Raw genomic sequence first — 18,285 nt, forward strand, 5'->3', positions numbered from 1 at the left:
GCTCAACTAATAACAACCCCTCATTTGAGCTGATGAAGGTTTATTAAATAAAAACATGCAGTAACCCTGGCAGTAATGAAGGGAGAAGGGAGGTAGACAACATCCTTTTTTTAATGGTGAGAGTACACCAAGTCTGCTTTATAGGTATTGGGTTTCCTAAGGGAGATAGGGCACCTGAATGGGTCTGATCAATATTATTTTATCAGGGTGATTTAAGAATGGGCATTTTTGATTGTCTTACTTGATCACTGTTGATTAGCATATAGGCTGAGGAGTTAGGAGAAAAAAGTATTCTTGCTCCAGGCACTTGGCCTTGCTCCTGATGCAGCTGTCTTTGGAACTCTGTCTTCAGTACCAGACTGTCAATAACCCTGCAGCTTTCAGGCAGTGGCAAAGCTTGGCCATAGGGAGCCAGACACATCATCTTAGTCTTCTCCAGTGAAACTGAAATCAGAGGTTGTTTTTCCCATAGATCCCGCAAGAGTCCCTGAAATCTTCACAATAGCCCTGACCCTTGAATGAATCCCCTTTATTTTCCCTTTCACGTCCCATACTCTTATTCCCCCGACCACCATTTGTACATGAAGTCCGGTCTACTGGTGTCATGCTGTAAACAAAAGTTACGTGGATGCTGTTATTAGGTTTGTATTAACAGTTGGGAATTTTGGGTTCACTTGCTTGCACATTTATGTCACATACATATATATTGTGGTATATTCTACTAGTAAAATTGTTCCTAGTTTATCTGATGCAGTTAAATACATAGAGTTCTATAAAGGCTACAATGTACTGCAAAGAGTGCTGTGATGTCCCAGATCTATCAAAGCTTTCAGACTTGCTGCTACAGCTGTTAGGTTGGACCATAGGAAATAACCAATATTTGATCATTTTTAACTTGTAAAAACAGTATTTTCTTATGGTTCAAGTTAATAATATGATAGATACCATTTTTTTTTTCTAAGCTTCATTGTTTGTTTTACTAGTTTCTGTCTGATAAAGATAAAAATTTCCGACTTGGGAAAAATAAGATGTAGCAATGTAGAAATAGTTGGTGAATGAATGATCTGGGATTCTTGGCTCCTGTGTGATAAATATCTTCGCTGCTTGCTTAGACGTGAGTCGGAATCATTCCACATTCACTGGGAGACCTGGAGGCTTCTTGTGCCCACCCAGGACTCCCTGATCCTGAAGGTGGACACTTGAGGGTGGAGGGCCCTCTAGGGGAGCAGGCCCTAAAACCGCTGGAGGTTGCCTTCCAGCAGTGCAGGGGCAGGCAGCGGCAGGTAGGTGACCTGGGCACTAAGTAAATCTAGGCTTCAGGGCATGTTTCTTTTGTTCATACAGAGATTTTGTGATGTTCTTATTTATTGAATAGTTGAGACTGCTCAAAAAGTTTGTTTAACTGTGTCTTATGTATATGTAGGAAGGGGGAAGGTATCAATTCTCTGGAGTAGCCTAATTTTATATCTTTTTACTGCAACTCCAAGGTAGACCATGGCAACATTTTCAGAATGGTTATGTTGTCTTGCTAGAAAAATGCTTCCTTAAGGGAGATTTACTGACCTAGTGAAAAGTGATAAAACATTTTAGAACCATATAATTTTCAGAGTCCTCAAAGAAATATTTGTTTTGGATTCAACAATGGCAATACATTTGCTTTCCTTAGGGAACAGTGTTGCCAAAATAAGCATTTTCGTTAGCTACCAGATGGTTTAGTTATCAGTTTTGTTTTTTGTTTATACAGCAGTTTTTCTTCTTTTTTTGGCTTGAACCTTATTTCTATTCACAAACAGTTACTGATGTCGTTTATCTTTGTGTGTCTTACTCACCTCAACTAGAAAAATAAAAAGATCAATAGTTTCTTTTACAACATTTCTTCAACAAAGCAGCTGCTGAGAATGGCCAAGTTTAGTGTTCCTCCAAAATATTTACAGTGGTTCATGTCAGAACACAAAACTAGATCTTTTTACATGATAAGCGTGATTAAGATTGGCTAAAGACAAGCATTAACTAGGAAATAATTATTTCCTGTATTTTACACTAAAATGAAGTTGAGAAATAGACATTGGGAAAGAAAATTTAAGGGTATGGTGGTTCCTAATTGCAAAGATTTTCCTTTGTTGTAGACTTATATCTCAACTCAGGCAAATTTTTTTGAATTCTTGATTATATACATTTTAACTGTGTGTTCAAGCTATTCTTTTAGTTATAGAAACATTTTTTAGAATTTTTGTTTTCATACATGGATAGGTTTCTAATAGCAAAACATGCTTTCCTGTTCAATATCATGTGATAAAACATTTGGAAAAGGTTTGCTTATCTTCATAATCCTAAAGGAAATATTTATTTTCAATTCTAAAACAGATTTCTATTGTCTATCTGAGCAGTTTCCAACTGTGTTGACTAGAACATTAATATTCTGTTAGATGGTAATAGGTGTTCGGTGAAAAAATTCACTGGTAGTCATATCTGTTTTCCTCCAAAATGCATTTAAAAATACTTATATCTGTCTATATATATGAAGAATTCTAAATACATTTAGGTGACTCATTATTATATAGTAATCTAACTTAAAGAAACTGTGAGATATACCTGATAATTCTAGGAGGTCATATTAGAGATCATTTGGCACATGAATGCGTGGTGTTTGATTTGTGAATAGGGGAATAGACAGCATTTACCAATTCACTGTACTGTGGATGTTGTCTGTTTAGTCTTTCATCTGCTATGTTTTATCCTGTAATTTTAATATATATTTGTGACATTATTCAGTGTTGCGTGTCACACTTATGAACCTGTTTTTTTTTATAATTTCTTATAGCAGCTACCTACCCTGTGAGACTGTCTTGTTGCTGTCTGCATTAATCCAACTGTGTCTCTTTAATTTCTGTTAATCTTTCATCAGTGTGTTATTTAAAATGTACTCTGTAGTCATTACATTTGGAAAAGTGCAGTAATTTATACAATGACCACTTCCCATACATTAAAACAATCTTTTTATCATTAATTATGCACATTCCTAAATACAGACGATTATTTTATTATTTCTAGTAAATCTCAAATCTTAGTAAATACCTGGAAACCGTACCTCCCCAGTACAACAGAATTGACTGTCAGCGGTAGTCTGTTGGGTTGACTGCTGCCTCACTAACTTTTCCTTTGTGTGTAAAATTTATGTTTCAAACTCCTTAAAACCAGATAAGATTAATGTTAGGGCTGGGCGCAGTGGCTCATGCCTGTAATCCCAGCACTTTGAGAGGCCAAGGTGGGTGGATCACAAGGTCAGGAGTTTGAGACCAGCCTGGCCAACATGGTGAAACTCTGTCTTTACTAAAGATACAAAAAATTAGCTGGGCATGGGGGCAGGCATCTGTAATCCCAGCTCCTCGGGAGGCTGAGGCAGGAGAATCGCTTGAACTTAGGAGGTGGAGGTTGCAGTGAGCCATGATTGTGCCATTGCACTCTAGCCTGGGCAACACGGCAAGACTCCATCTCAAAAAAACAAAAAAAAGATAAATGTTAGGTTTCTAAACATATATTCTAGAGAGCAAATGTTGCATTGACAACTATTTTCTTTAAATTGGTTTGAGTACCACTTAGTATGGTTAGAGTAAGGGAAGACAGTGGCCTTGTCCAGCTTCCATAATTATAGCTTTATAAATAGACTATGAATAAGTGAAGGCCAGAAAATAAAACACAGTGTTTTCTTATAGAAATAAGAGACTATTCTCTTTCCTCTTTTGTGGTAAGGTTTTCAAATTTTTGAAGTTCTGAGACTACCTTTGATAATATATGTTATTATGTTATCTTGTATTTTGGGTCAAGGAAATATATTCAAAGTTTGTCATTTAAACAGTTACAATGGCTCAAAGAAGGAAGGAACACTTACTGAAATTGCTTCACTAAAACATGTTGGGAATACTCTCTGAGGTTTCTTTACTCATGGAATAAATAGGTACTGTTAAAAATAATTTCAGTGAGCACTCAGGAGCTGCCAGGCACTGCGCTAAGTGTTTTACCTGAATTTTTACTTTTAATTTAATTAGGTGACTTTGAAAGTTGACACTTGTCATAAAATTCTGTATTTGGAACATGTACTGTTTGGGTTAAAAATCTTCATGTACATTCCTACAAACAAATCAAGTGTGGATGTGCAGTGGGTGGTTTTTAAGCTTAAATATCTCAGCTGGATTTAATTACCTTAAGGGATAAGGCTACGTGATGGGCCAGTGGTTTACCAAATTATTTTTCATTTTCTGGATCTCAGTGTCACTGAAAGTTAATGCATCCTCTTTCTCTGCTAGAGACCTGAGTTAAAATCCATTTTAGGGCATAAGTATAAATGAATTTGTTGTTGTTTTTTCCTCCTTGGGGACACTGTGGTCATTTTGTGAGGCTGCCTTTCCATTTGGAATTGCTGGCAGCTTGCTCTGGGCCCAGGGGCTCTCATAGCAGGGGCAGTTGCAAGTCAGCGTGAAAATGAACTGGTAGGCTTCAGAGGGCAGAGCTGGCCCAGGGCTTGTCACTCTCCCATTCCTTGATTCTTTCTTGGTTAACTTAAGGAAACTTATTTGCTACTGACATTTGATTATAGCACATCACAAAACAAGTGATGTGGTTGTGGATAAGCCATCACATTTTCTTTACCATTTCAGGCTGGTTTATATTTGGCAGCTACAAAGGTTTCTCTGTTCACTGTCCACAGACTCCTAGATGACTCCTTAGACTGCTGTAGTTGTGTGATCAACATTTTTGATCACCAATGTGTTTCATGGCTTTAATTACCTATTGTTTTAGTGTAAATGGTTCATTCTTTAGGAGCGTGTTTGTATCCATAATTACATTTAAGGGTTTTACCCTGAAGTATTATTAGTTATTTCCTTTATCTGTACCTATTAGGAATATTTAGTATAACCAAAGCAGGGAATAATACGCATAGCATTTCATCCCTGAGGGAGCTCACTTGTGTTCTTTCCCTCTAAGCTCATCCTGTCATTTCTATTTTCTCTCAAAGAATAGCACCTAGAGTATGCTCTTTAAGTTTTCTTTGAAAAGATACAAGATCTTTACACATAAAAACAAACATAATTTTGTGTACATGAATAAATGGGATCATATCATGCATGCTGTCTTTTTTTTTTTTTTCCTTTGCAGATGTCACTTTGAGTTTCAAAGTGAGTTGGTTGCTCCAGGTTCCCTGAATCCTTCATGTTCTCCATTTATTGTAGGCATTCCTATACCAGTTTGATTTATCCAGTCCTTTTGTCTTGAAAATCTCCCAAACCACTTTGCACCGGGAGTATCTTCCTCTTCATGTTTTGTCTTCCAGTCACCATTCATATCCCGTTTCTTCTATCAAACTGAATCAGGACAAGGAGAGGTGATGACTACTATTGTCCATTTGTAGCATTCATGTAAAAAAATGTATTTACCTCTGTGTGATGTGTATTTGAAAAAGAGTGAGAGAGAGCCCGACTCTTGGTAAGCACAAAGAGTCATGATTGCTGTGAGAACAAGTTCTTTTTAAAACATTTATATAGTGTGCTTTTTTTTAAAGCCTTAGTTTAAAAAAGCTAACTTTGAGTAAAAGTTGATTAAACCATTAGTACATGGGATTCTTGTGAGAATGTGAATGATAGTATCATTTAAATAGGGAGGTCTTTTTACACGTGTCCATTGACAGATGTGTGTGGGCATAAATAGTTTGCTATGGTGGTGTGTATGCTTTCATGTTTATCTTTGTCTAGATTGTTTTATCATTACCTAAGGTGAGAAAAACTCTCCCCTAGCCACATTATACTCTACGAAGTCTTTTATATGCTGATAAAGTTCTCGTAAGCTCCCTTTGTTAGTATCTTTTTAAGACGTCTTTCTTATTTATAATATTGCCAGGTTATTAAGTTGTACTTAATTGTCTTTCATTTTTTTCTCTTTTCAGGTGTCAGCAGTTGAGTCTTTGGAGGGCCCCCTGCTCCAGGTGGAAGGACTGAGTGACCTTCGACTAGAGCTTCACAGCAAGAAGATGAACCTTCACTTGGTTCTCATAGATGAACTACACCGGCACCTGTACATCAAATCGACTAGCCGAGTTGTGCAGCGTAACAAGGAAAAAGGGAAAATCAGGTTAAAGAGGCTCTTTGCTATAAGTGTCTTGTGGCAGTGTAGGATTGGAAGGAATATTTTTTGTTTCCCAGAATGTTGTTGTAATTTATTTTACTTTTCCTTTAATGGACTGTCTCTGAAACTTGAAGATGGTTTTATAATAGCAAATACTCCATGTTCTGAGAGGCTGACATTTGAAGTTTGTTCATTCATTCATTCTACATTTATTATGGTCCTTTTCTGTAAGGATATATAAGAAGCATTTACTGTGGGTCTCATATTCTGAATCAGAGACATTGGTACATCTCAGAAGGAAGTAGAAAAATTCTTAAATTGGACTGTGAAGTCAGCCTAATTAAGAAATGTAGATATATTGGCTGGGTGCAGTGGCTTATGCTTGTAATCCCAGCACTATGAGAGGCTGAGGTGGAAGGATTGCATGAGCCCAAGAGTTCAAGACCAGCATGGACAACAGAGCAAGACTCTGTCTCTACAAAAAAAGGGCCAAAATTAGCTGGGTATAGTGGTGTGCACCTGTAATCTCAACTACTCCAGAGGCTGAGATGACAGGATGGCTTGAGCCCAGGAGTTTGAGCTTCAGTGAGCTATGATTTCTCCACTGTACTCTAGCCTGAGCAACAGCGAGGAGACCTGGTCTCTTAAAAAAAAAAAAGACAAAAAGAAATATAGATGTATTGACTGAATGATAAGATTCTTTATTACTTAGGGTTATGTTCAGCTTTAGGTTGTCCTTTTTCTGGAATAGTTTAGGAAAGGTTCAGAGAGAACACTTTTATTCCTTGGTTGGTTGTAGCATAGCCCTATATTTAATGGCCTGGGTAGTCTCAAGAAATTCATTAGGTTAGTAGAGGCCTGGTAGGGAATAAGACTAGATCTTAAGATGGTAGAATATTGGAATTTTTAACATATGTTAGATAGCTGTGCATAGTACATGTCCTTCCAATATTCCTTTAGAATAGACAGATCTTTTCAGAGGGCATTTCAGCACTATCTACTGAAATATACATGTTCATGCTTCTTCATTCAGATATAGACAAGAAGAGCACTGGAAGCAGTGCACGCTGGGAATGAAGTCTTTCAAGTCTTATCCTGTTTGAACAAAAAACGCCAAATTTGCTTGTGATGCTTCAGTTTAATCAGAGATCCTGACAGAGAAAGAGAGGTTTCTACCTCTTTTCAGCAGATAGGCACTAGAAAAACTTCTGCCAGGCACACAGATTTGATATGTACCTGAGACATAACTTCAAGACTAGCTCTGAATAGGGTATCTGTCAGTACCTCAGCAGAGAGTGAAGTGGTGAATAGGGGAAGTGCTAAGGCATTCTTTCGACAATGCCTGCTGATAAATAGCAGATCTGAAGAGATTTCTTCCCATACAAGGTTAAGTAATAAAATCACTATGGTCCTGTGAAAATATTCTGTATTATAAGGGAAAATGAGCATTATTTGAGGTCTCAGAGGAAGAACATTTATTTTAAAAAAATTTCTGTAAAGCAAGCAAGAAACATTTAAGAGACTTAAGCTCAAGGTTTCTCAAAAAATACAAGAAACACGATGTAGTAGATTATTCAGAATAATCACTCATTTCCCTTCTACTTTTGTGGGAGAGGAGTATTTCCTACGCTTTTTGTTGGGGCCTTGGCTTTTGCCATCATTAGGGTACATGACACAAGCAGGGGCTTCAAACGTGCTTATGCTGTTGAGTGTGGCCTTTCGTGCCACTGCCATTGCCTTGCTGGCGGTCCCAGGAGAAGGGTAAGAGACACATGGAACTGACTGAAGATCAGCAGACCTGCCTAGCCTGCATCAACCAACCACCAAAATGTATGCTTATTGTTGAACATTATTGAGATTTTGTGGTTGTATACAGTAAGCGCATAGCTTCCATGAAAACAGTAACCGGGAGCTACAAGAACAGAGTGAGGAGAGATGCTAACAGAGCTAACTAAAACATGAATAAAATGTAAGGAAACCAAAATGAAGTAGAGAAATTTAAGTCTTTAAAGCTTCAGAGAGAAGATCTGAATCACTGATGTGGAGGGAAAAACTTTTCTTGATGAAGAGGAAAAAGACAAGATGCCAAAAGGAAGAGGATAAATATGAAAGATGAACAGTGGTCAATCCAGTGATTTTAGGGGTTCCAGAGAATCACACTAAAATGATAGTGTTTGGGGCTGAATTATGTTCCCCCTAAAATTCATATATTGAAACCCTAATCCCTGGTACCTCAGATTATGACTGTATTTGGAAATAGGGTCTTTTAGAAAGTGACTAAGTTGAAATGAGGTCATTTGTGTGGGCTCTAATCCAGTAGGACTGATGTCCTTATAAAAAGGAAATTTGACACACTTGGAGGGAAGACCATGTGAAGACACAGGGAGAAGATGGTCACCTACAAGCGAAGGAGAGAGGTCTCAGAAGAAACCAACTACGCCCACACCTTGATCACAGACTTCCAGCCTGCAGAACTGTGAGAAAGTAAATTTCTGTTGTCTAAGCTATCCAGTCTGTGTTACTTTATTATGGCAGTGGGAGGGAACTCAGACAGAGGGGATCAGAAGCAATAATTAGAGTATAAATAAAAAAACCTACTTAAACAGGAAAACAAGACCTTGGTCTGCAAGTTGAAAGAATTTAAGGTAAAATGAATAAAAAAAAGTTACTCTTAGATATAATCTGGAAATTTTTATGATTTTCAAAAACAAATTTTATAAATACCAGGAAGAAATATTATGTGATCTGAAGTGATAGAGATAATTATTTGCCCACCCAATGTCCATTCTTCCCTTCATTTTTAATGACAATCTTTATTTCGTTCCTGGTGGCTATAGGCCCAGCTAAAAGGCTGCATTTTCCATCTTCCCATATAGCTAGAGGGTGTTTAGTGGGACTTCATTTTGCAAGCTGTTGAATGGGGAGGTCATTAATTTTTTAAAGATACCAATTAAACTGGTATGCTCACTCTTTTACCCTTCATTTGCCTTTCTTTACTTTCTATCTGGGACATAGATTGGTGCCATCGAGCCGTCCTAGACACAAGGTGACCTTGAGGATAGAAGCCACATCTGAAACTCCATGATCACCTTGAACTTCTTTTCTAGCCCTGGGTGGGGTGCCTCTTTAATGTGAGAGGAAGTCTTTGTTTTACTCAGACCACTATTATTTGGTCTTCTTTTTATACACTTAAAACCAGGTCAGTTACACAGAAAGGAGCAAAAATCAGGCTCACCAGGATTTGCTGAATACTAAATGCCAGAAGACAATAGAACAAAATCTATAAAGTTGAATGGAGAAGAGTTGGGACCAAAGACTTTTCTAGCCAGCCAAGGGGACATTGATATGCATAGGTGGCCAAGAGATATTCTCAGATATGAATTTATAATAAAAAAAATTAGTATTCTTTTTCCGAGCAAAATTCTCAGAGATAAACTGTGAGACGTACAACCAGAGAACAATAAAGTTGTAGGTAGTTTGAAACAACTTTGAGGACCACATACCATTAAATAGGTACATGTATATATATATGTAAGTAACTGACAAATATGTTTTTACAAGATTGAGAATATCAGCTAAAAACCATTGTGGAAAAAAAGGTCAGCCGGGCGTGGAGGCTCACGCCTGTAATCCCAGCACTTTGGGAAGCCGAGGTGGGAGGATCATTTGAGGTCAGGAGTTTGAGACCAGCCTGGTCAACGTGGTAAAACCCCATCTCTACTGAAAGTGTAAAAGTTAGCCAGGCATGGTGGTACGTGCCTGTAGTCCCAGCTACTCAGGAGGCTGTGGCAGGAGACTCACTTGAACCCAGGAAGTGAAAGTTGCAGTGAGCCGAGATCACACCACTGCATTCCAGCCTGGGTGACAGAACAAGACTCCATCTCAAAAAACAAACAAACAAAAAAGGCTATGTAGTCAAGGAGTACTCTCTAACAGTAAACAGAATTTATATCCCTTTTTACTCAGTTAATAGTGACTAGGAAATTTGGATAGGTAGGAGAAAGGAATGCTGAATTCTTGCTTAAGATGAGTGTGAAGTTTTGTTTTCGACTTTAATAATTAGAGAAAATGTTTAATTTTGTTTTTACTAATCTAGATATGTATATTTAAAAATCAATAGAGAAGACAAAAATATTCTCTATTACAAAGGATATTGTACTGCAGCCCTCCTTTGTCAGCAGGGGATATGTTCCAAGACCCACAGTAGGTACCTGAAACTGCAGATAGTGCTGAACCCTGAATCTACCTGCACAGTAAATCCTCACTTAATGCCCTCAATAGGCACTTGGAAACTGTGACTTTAAGTGAAATGAAGCTGTAACTTCAAGTGAAATGACATACAGAAGGTCCTAGAATAACATTGTGTCCTTCAAGGTCCTCTGCTGATGAGAGAAAAAAAATTCGTTTCATTATATGCCAAGATTCTTGATTGCAAATAGAGGAAATCAGTCTGGGTAACTAAAACAGGAAAAGAATTTATTGGAAAGTTATCAGGTTGTTCACAGAATCTATGGGAAGTCTGTATAATCAGGCTCTAAAGCCCAGTAGGAACCAACGGAGATTAAGCAGCTGAGCACACACAGTCTTAGACAAGCCACAGGAAGGGTCTGTTTGGGTTGCTATTTTTGCTGGCACCATGCCCACAATAGCTGGATTTTAAACTCCTCTGTAAATGATCTCTAAATGTCCCTGCATCTTTCCTTTATCTCGTCAAGATTCAAACTTCTGGACTCAGGCATCCAGTTTGCTGAGCCTGGGTAATGCCTGGACTCCTTCAGCTTCCATAGTAGGAAGTGGGGCCTTCTTTTTGCTTTGATGCAGTCAGTGGGGATGGACTGTTCAGATGTTTGGTACCCAAGACAAACACCCAACAAATTTCTACTGCAAGAGAAAACAAAGGAAATCACATGAAGGCACTTACGTATAAAGAAGACCAGATGTTTTTGAAGTAGAAGATAGGCAGTAGAATTGACAAATGAAAGAAAGGTACATGCTCACATACAAAAAATAATAAAAATTTTACTTGGAGGAAATGAAACAAATAAATGGTGAGACTGTCCTTGTTCTTAGCTCATGAAGATGTCAGTTCCAGTTGAAAATTTTGAAACTGTCAAATGAAATCTAAAGTTCACATGGATGAATACATGCGTAAGAATTGTTTAAAAGAATTGTGAAGGGAGGTTATGAGGGGGGCATTTCTTATGTGATATCAAAGCATATTGTAAAGCTGTTTTAGTCAAAACAGTACAGACATGCAAAAATAAATTTTTTTAAAGAAAACAGTGCAGACATGAAGTAGAAAATCAGATGGGTGAGACAAAATAGAGTTGAGAAATAGACCCCAGGATCTATAGACTTTAGTATTTTGAACAATAGTTCAGCTGGGGGGTAATGAAGGCTATTTAATATATAGTGTTCAGACAATTGACTGTTGATTTGAAGAAAATAAATTTAGGTGTCTACCTCTTATGTACAAATGATTCAGCCAGATTTAAAAATCACATAGCACTGTATTAGCATTAGGAAAACGTGTAGGAGGATATGTGTGGAGGAGCCTTTTTCAAGCATATCAGAAGACATAAAGAAATATATTAAATGGTTTAACCATTAAAAAACCCAAAACTTATCTTCAGGAAAACAGAGTCAAAGGATAAACTATACTCTGAGGAAATATATGTATGTCATATAACGCTTTAATATCTAAAGCATGCAGATATTTGTAAGCTCAGTAAAGCGGGATATAGACTGTTCATAGATTAAAAATACAAATGGCTAATAAATATAAGATTGTTCAATATCATGAGTAGTCAGAGAAATACACATTTGAAAAATTAAATGCAGTTTTTTGTTCATAAGATGATCAAAATCAAAGACATTGATAGCATGTTATGATAGCAAAGATGGCGGAAATGCGTAGCTTTCTCTTGATGGTGGAATAACCAATATGCCTTTTTGGAAAATAAATTTGCATATTCTTTGTCCAGAGAATTTTGTTTCTAGGTCTACATCCTACAAAAACAGTACCAGTTCATAAAAATATATGTAACAAGATATTCATTGTGACATTGTTGGTAAGAAGAACAAAAATATTCAGCTTAAATGTTCATCAAGAGGAGTATGGTATATTGGTACCATGTAATTACAGAATTTCAGTGATAATGATCTCTATGTGCTGATATAGAAAGGTTTCTAAGGTGCATTTTTGGGTCCCAAAAGCAAGTTGAAAAATAGCATAGATAGTATGAACCTATTTGTGAAAGATTGAAAGGATAGAAACTTAAATATGTATACTTTATATATTGGTATAAATATTTGTATGTGTATAGAAAATGTCAGACAGATAATGTCAAAACACTGATAAAAGGAATTACTTGTGAGAAATGGAAATGTGAGGTGGGGAATAGGGAGGTAGAAATTCTTTTATTTCCTGTGTACATCATGAGCATGTTTTTTAAAAATAATAATACAATTACTGATGATCCTTTTGAAGATTTTTAAAAATGAAATGGGAAAATGTTTAGATTATACCCTTGAAGGGAAAAACTAGAATTCAGATCTATGCAGGATGATCAAAGAATGTTGAAAAAGGAGCATGCGTGCCATTTTTGTGTTGTGTGACGTGGGGGGTGGATGGACAGACACTCATTTTTAAATTTTTTTTCAAGCAGTCCTTGTACCTCAGCCTCCTAAGTAACTGGCATACCACTGTGCTTGGCCTTGATGCTCCTTTCTGTAAGATGTTTTGGAAGGCAGTATACCAAAATGATGTGAATGGATTATTTTTTTTTTAAGTATTTTCAAGAAAGAATTTACACCTTTATAATCGGATAAAATTAGTAAAAAGTTGTTTAAAAATAATTCTTTTATTTATTGCATGATCCTGGATAATACTCGGTTTAACCTTGCTTCCTCAGCCATCCTGGGACATCGTCTAGCTCATGGAAGAGAAAATTTGGTGTCCATATTTGTCTCTGGGCATGTAAAGAATGTTCTTCACTGCATTGTATTCATTCCCTAACTATTTTGTCTTTTAAAGATTTTTTTTCTGTTTACATATGTTGGTTTTCTTTTTATCTTTCAGTTCTTGTTTTTTTTTTTTTTCCCTCTTGGCTTAGATTTTAAATTTTTAGCCTCACTTTATTTTCTGTTACCATGTCTTCACCCTTGGTCTGTCATTTGAAACGATGGCTCTTTTTTACTTTTATACCCTTTAAATCATTCTTATTCTTTCTGAGTGTTCCAACAGATCTTAGAACTATTGAGAATTATTATGCCAGCCATTCCTGTTTCATTATTTGGTGAAGTCTTACTAAGGGCACGTTATCTTTGACAGATATTTCTTAGCTCAGTTTGATTTAACAAAATTTTATGAGCACTTGCTCTTTGACAAGTACTGTGCCAGCTGTTCTGGCTATATAAGTGAATATATCAGTTATTCGATTTACAACTTAAAGTTCAACTCACCTCTGTCAGTTTTTAGTTTCACAAAATTAGCCAAATGAGTTGCAGTTGTAAATTTTGGACATAGTTGAACCCATTTATTGTGAAGTGAAGGAACAGAAATATGTTATAATTAAAAAGTAGATGTTTAATAAGCTGTCAGCACTTCTAACCCCTCTTAAAAAACTGTTTTCGTATCATGAAATCTTGAAATCTAACATTTAGAAGCAGAGCTTTACTAGTTGGATGTTGGTTAATGGCCAGGAAGTCCTTGAGGTTACAGTGGCAGTGGTTGTTGCTTGTTTTGGGTTTAATTTGTTGTATACTTTTCCTGTCCTCTACCATGTTGCTATTGGCAAAATGCATTCAGTCACAATATATAATTGGTAATTTTGGGGGGACCATTTTATACTAGCAGGGATTACTGTACATCAGCTGTCTTTTGATCTCAGCTATGAATGATTCTGAATGGATTTAAAATAAAAATTTGTAATCATGTATTTAAAATGAAAAATAACTGTCAGTATTTCCAAAATAACGTTATAATTTTTATTTTATTTTTTGTTTTCAAAAAATGCTTTCTCTGAGGGATTAAAAACCCGTTGAAGGTATTAATTAATCAATCCCTTCTCAGCTTTATCTCTGATATGTGGTGAGAAGAGGTCTTTTTTTCTGTTGTGAAATGGAAACTGAGGTCCATATTACTTAATGCAATATTCTACAATAGCACCTACCTTATGCTGAGCTTCATTCATGTCTGTAGTCACAAAGTGAGTGGGTGTGCCCCCTTTCTCTGGAACTTTTGAGACTAAGTCCTTTCATAAAACAGCAGGAGAAAAACTAAAGTCATTTCCAGAGTTACTTGCCTTTGGGTTAGTGCTCACCAAGGAGAAAATTGAAGCTTAAGGGAAAATTTTAGAGAGAGAGATGAGTGTATGAAAATAGTTTTGCAGTAAATTGACTTTCTAAAAGTTTATTGATGGAGTTTGAGGGCCCTTCTGGCTCTGATAATAAAATCAGCAGGTTATATTTTTCAGAGTTGAAATGGCAAGCTGTTTATCACCCTAAATTTAACTGAAATATGTTTTTAGGTTAAAACTGAGAAAATAATTGTAGGATTTAATCTAGAGTGATGTGCATGTACATCTGTGTTCATAGAAGTGTGTACTATGATAAATACACATATAAAAATATCAGTGTGCACACACATAGTAACAACTGTTTCATCATTAGGTGTGGCAGGCAGTATTCCAGCTATATAATTGAATTTTCCTGCTGATTGATACCTTAATTTATCTGTACTTTAAAAGTAATTCCTCCACTTTGTTCTAGAAATATTTAAATATTTAGACAATGTATTATATTTTTCCTGTCATTTAAAGTTGAAGTTTTTTTTACTCTGTAGCAGTACCATAAACCTGTGTCTTTTTTTACAATTAAAACATTTTTATTTTACTTTATTCATTTGTCCATTGAAGCATTTTATTTGTAAATATGTATTACATCCATAGATGAAGAACCCCAGGATTTTCTCTCCTGTGTGTTTTTGTGTTGCTTCTTCATGGTCCATGATGTGAGCTGAGTCAGTACAATGAAACCAAACTGGTGGGATGGGAGCAGATTAGTCTGTGATTTTTCTAGATTTTTCTAGATCTTTGAGTTGGACATCAAATCTGGGGCTGATCACACTTGCTCACAACAACTTGTTCACACTGTGAGGTTCCCAATAATTTTCCCAGCTCTGTGATCATCAGTGATTTCAAATTCGCTCATGTGCCCATGCTTTGTCATCACAGTTGATGAAGACACTAGACAGTGACTTTGGAGCAAGGTCTAATAAGAACCAGGTGTTTGCCTCTCTTTTCGGTATTGTCGATGCTCTGGAAAGCAGCAAACAGGACATTTATGCACACCATTAGGGTGGCACGGAAAGATGGTGGAAAGAGCTCTTTGTGTCTTTGGGCATCTGTATCCAGGGCCTAGGGGGACCTGTGAAGTGTTTTGTAATTGTGAGTAAAATGCAGGTGAAAGAGGATGACGTCATTGAGAGGAAAAAAATGAGAAGACAAAAGAAGTCATAAAACATGAAAGAATGGACAAATCTATTATCTAATTTATTTTATAAATAGATAAACCATTATGAAAAGTTATTGGATTTGAGGACTGTTGGATTTTCTTAAGATAGTTTAGGCTAGGAACTTACAGGTTTACATTGGTAGAAAAGAGTTGTTGGGAGGATGCCAGTTCAATTCCTGGTAAATGCTTTCTGTTACTTTAATATCTTATACTCCACTTTTCACATTAGCCTGTGAGTGATTTTAACAATTGGAAATATGCTGTTTGGTTTAGTTCATATCTTAGTCATACTCACATTCTTAGCACTGAGCACAGTGCCAAGCACATAATGGATGCTGAAGAATTGTTCGAGTAATGATTCCCTGTTTCCCTGTAACAAGTCAAAAGGGAGACGTTAATGACTGTCATAGTGATCCTCAAGGCCTAGGACAGTGGCTCCTACATTATTTGTACTCAGTGAAAAGAATAAAACCTTATGTGATAATTTCACTCTTTAACACAGTGTGAAATTATCACTTGAACCCGAATTATCACTTAACAAACTTTATTTTTCAAAGATCTCTGAAAAAACATGTTTGTTTTTTATTGGATTATAAATACACACATACCTAGCACATTTGTTCCAAAAGGAGTGTGTGAAGGAGATGGGGATATATTGCTGTGGTGGGGGCAGATGTTGTTCCCAATTGCACACATCCTTCCTTCCTTCCTTCCATTTGAAGAAATCTTTCCTATAGGCGTGGTCTCTTCTCTGCTTCCCCTTTGCCTGCTCTAGCCACTGCTACTGATGATGTATTTCAGTACTAAAAAGTGAGAATTATGGCTTCCACTTCCCTACCCTTGGATTTGGCTTCGAGGGGCTCTTCTGTTGTAGATAGTGTGCGAGATGATTCCATTTCTTGAGAGCAGGGCATAGGGTTTAGTTGGCTTGGCATAGCCTGCATTCTTTCACTTAACAGGTATTTTGAGATGGGAATTAATTGGAAATTTTGTTTTTTATAGTTTTCATGATTTAAAATTAATGTGTTTATTTTGAAGGAAGTTGATTTATGCGTTTATTTAAAGTTTATTAGTTTATTTAAAGTTAATCATTAAGATGAGGGGCTTGGCCTTCTTAGGAAAGGTGAAATGGGTAAATACTGAATTAACCTGTTTGAGATCCTTAAATCATTTTAATTGTTGTGATTGTCCACGTCATGAAATTTATGAGTCTCTTTTAAAGAAAACTGAATGTAGTAAACTTCCGGCATATGTCAAAAACTATAGCCTGAAAAACACAAGTAAACACTAGTTAAACCTTTATTCAGTATCATGGCATGTTGTCATTTGATCTTTCTTTGTTGATAAATTAATATTTAATACAGATACAAAGGAGGACAGTGAAATTGCCTGGCATAGTGTTATTACAAGGTGGTTATCCAGTTGATCCAGAATACACTACACTAATTTTTTAAACAGCATTGAATGAAATGACAAAATAAAAATTTAAGTACTTGGAACCCTTACAATACATTTTTATACCCCTGTCTGTGACAGTCACCTCTTTATTGGAAATATACTGGGGAGATCCAGTATAGTATATACTGGGGAGATCCAGTTCCAGTGTAAAGAGGGCTCATGACAAAAACAAAAGTGGTAAGGGTGGGGCTGTAGTGGGAGGACTTTAGTTGGTTTTGAAGAAAGTGGTAACTAGTGCTTCTTTTCCCGTTCAGCTCCCTCGTGAAAGATGCTTCTGTTCCTCTGATTGATGTTACAAACCTCCCTACTCCTCGAAAATTCCTTGATACCTCTCACTATTCTACTGCTGGAAGCTCAAGTGGTAAGTATTTAATTCTTCAGCCACTAAGCTTTTTAGTATGTCTTAGTTCCTAGGTAGATATCTGGAGGAGCTTTTTGGGGGCTGAGCTAGGTTGGGCTGGGCTAGGTGGGCCTGAGCTAGGTGTGTTGGAACCTGTGATGAGCCCTTTGCAACCTTCAGAGCAAATAAGATGTACAGTGATTTATTGGGCTGTTGCATTATCAGGGTTGAAAAGTGGCAGCTGAACCTGGCCTGCCTGCTGAATCCAGCTGCATCTGTGTTTTGTTTGACCAGCACTGTTTTTCTTTCTTTCTTTCTTTCTTTTTTTTTGAGACGGAGTCTCGCTCTGTTGCCCAGGCTGGAGTGTAGTGGCACGATTTTGGCTCTCTGCAACCTCTGCCTCCTGGGTTCAAGGGATTCTCCTGCCTTGGCCTCAAGAGAAGCTGGGATTACAGGTGCCTGCCACCATGCCCAGCTAATTTTTGTATTTTTAGTAGAGACAGGGTTTCACCATGTTGGCCAGGCTGGTCTCAAACTCCTGACCTCCCAAAGTGTTGGCATTACAGGCGTGAGCCACCACACCCGGGCGACCAGCACTGTTTTTCTAAAGTTGAGTTTGGATGCTTTTTGATAGAGCATATGCTTTCCATTGTGCTATAATCTTTACTACTCCTAGTAGCTTTTACTTATTTATCTCATGTATTGCATTCAGTGTCTGGTCCTGGGAGCTTCTGAGTGTGTGACCTCTGTCCTATGCCCTCTCCACTTCTAAATGTGCATGCATCCACGTGTGCACTCATAGTCGTACCTGTAACACACTTTGAGGAAATATCTACAAACTTATCTTTTCTTCT

At 37.0% G+C, this 18,285-nt stretch overlaps 1 protein-coding gene and 1 pseudogene across 11 annotated transcripts in view; one reads left to right on the top strand and one right to left on the bottom strand.

Annotated features, from left to right (window-relative positions):
• EXOC4 (exocyst complex component 4) overlaps positions 1-18,285 on the top strand; it is an 847,874-nt gene that overhangs the window by 46,861 nt on the left and 782,728 nt on the right. For all 11 annotated transcript variants that reach the window (XR_007060126.1, XR_007060125.1, XR_007060123.1 and 8 more), the window contains exons 4-5: positions 5,939-6,123; positions 17,346-17,452. Coding sequence is in view for 3 of the 11 variants with exons in the window: in NM_021807.4 (NP_068579.3) it covers positions 5,939-6,123; positions 17,346-17,452 (292 nt within the window). In the remaining 8 variants the exon portion in view is untranslated. The remainder of the gene's footprint in view (positions 1-5,938; positions 6,124-17,345; positions 17,453-18,285) is intronic.
• Positions 15,071-15,473, bottom strand: RPS15AP23 (ribosomal protein S15a pseudogene 23; annotated as a pseudogene).

This window comes from Homo sapiens, chromosome 7, assembly GCF_000001405.40.
Source record: "Homo sapiens chromosome 7, GRCh38.p14 Primary Assembly".
NCBI classification, from domain to species: domain Eukaryota; kingdom Metazoa; phylum Chordata; class Mammalia; order Primates; family Hominidae; genus Homo; species Homo sapiens.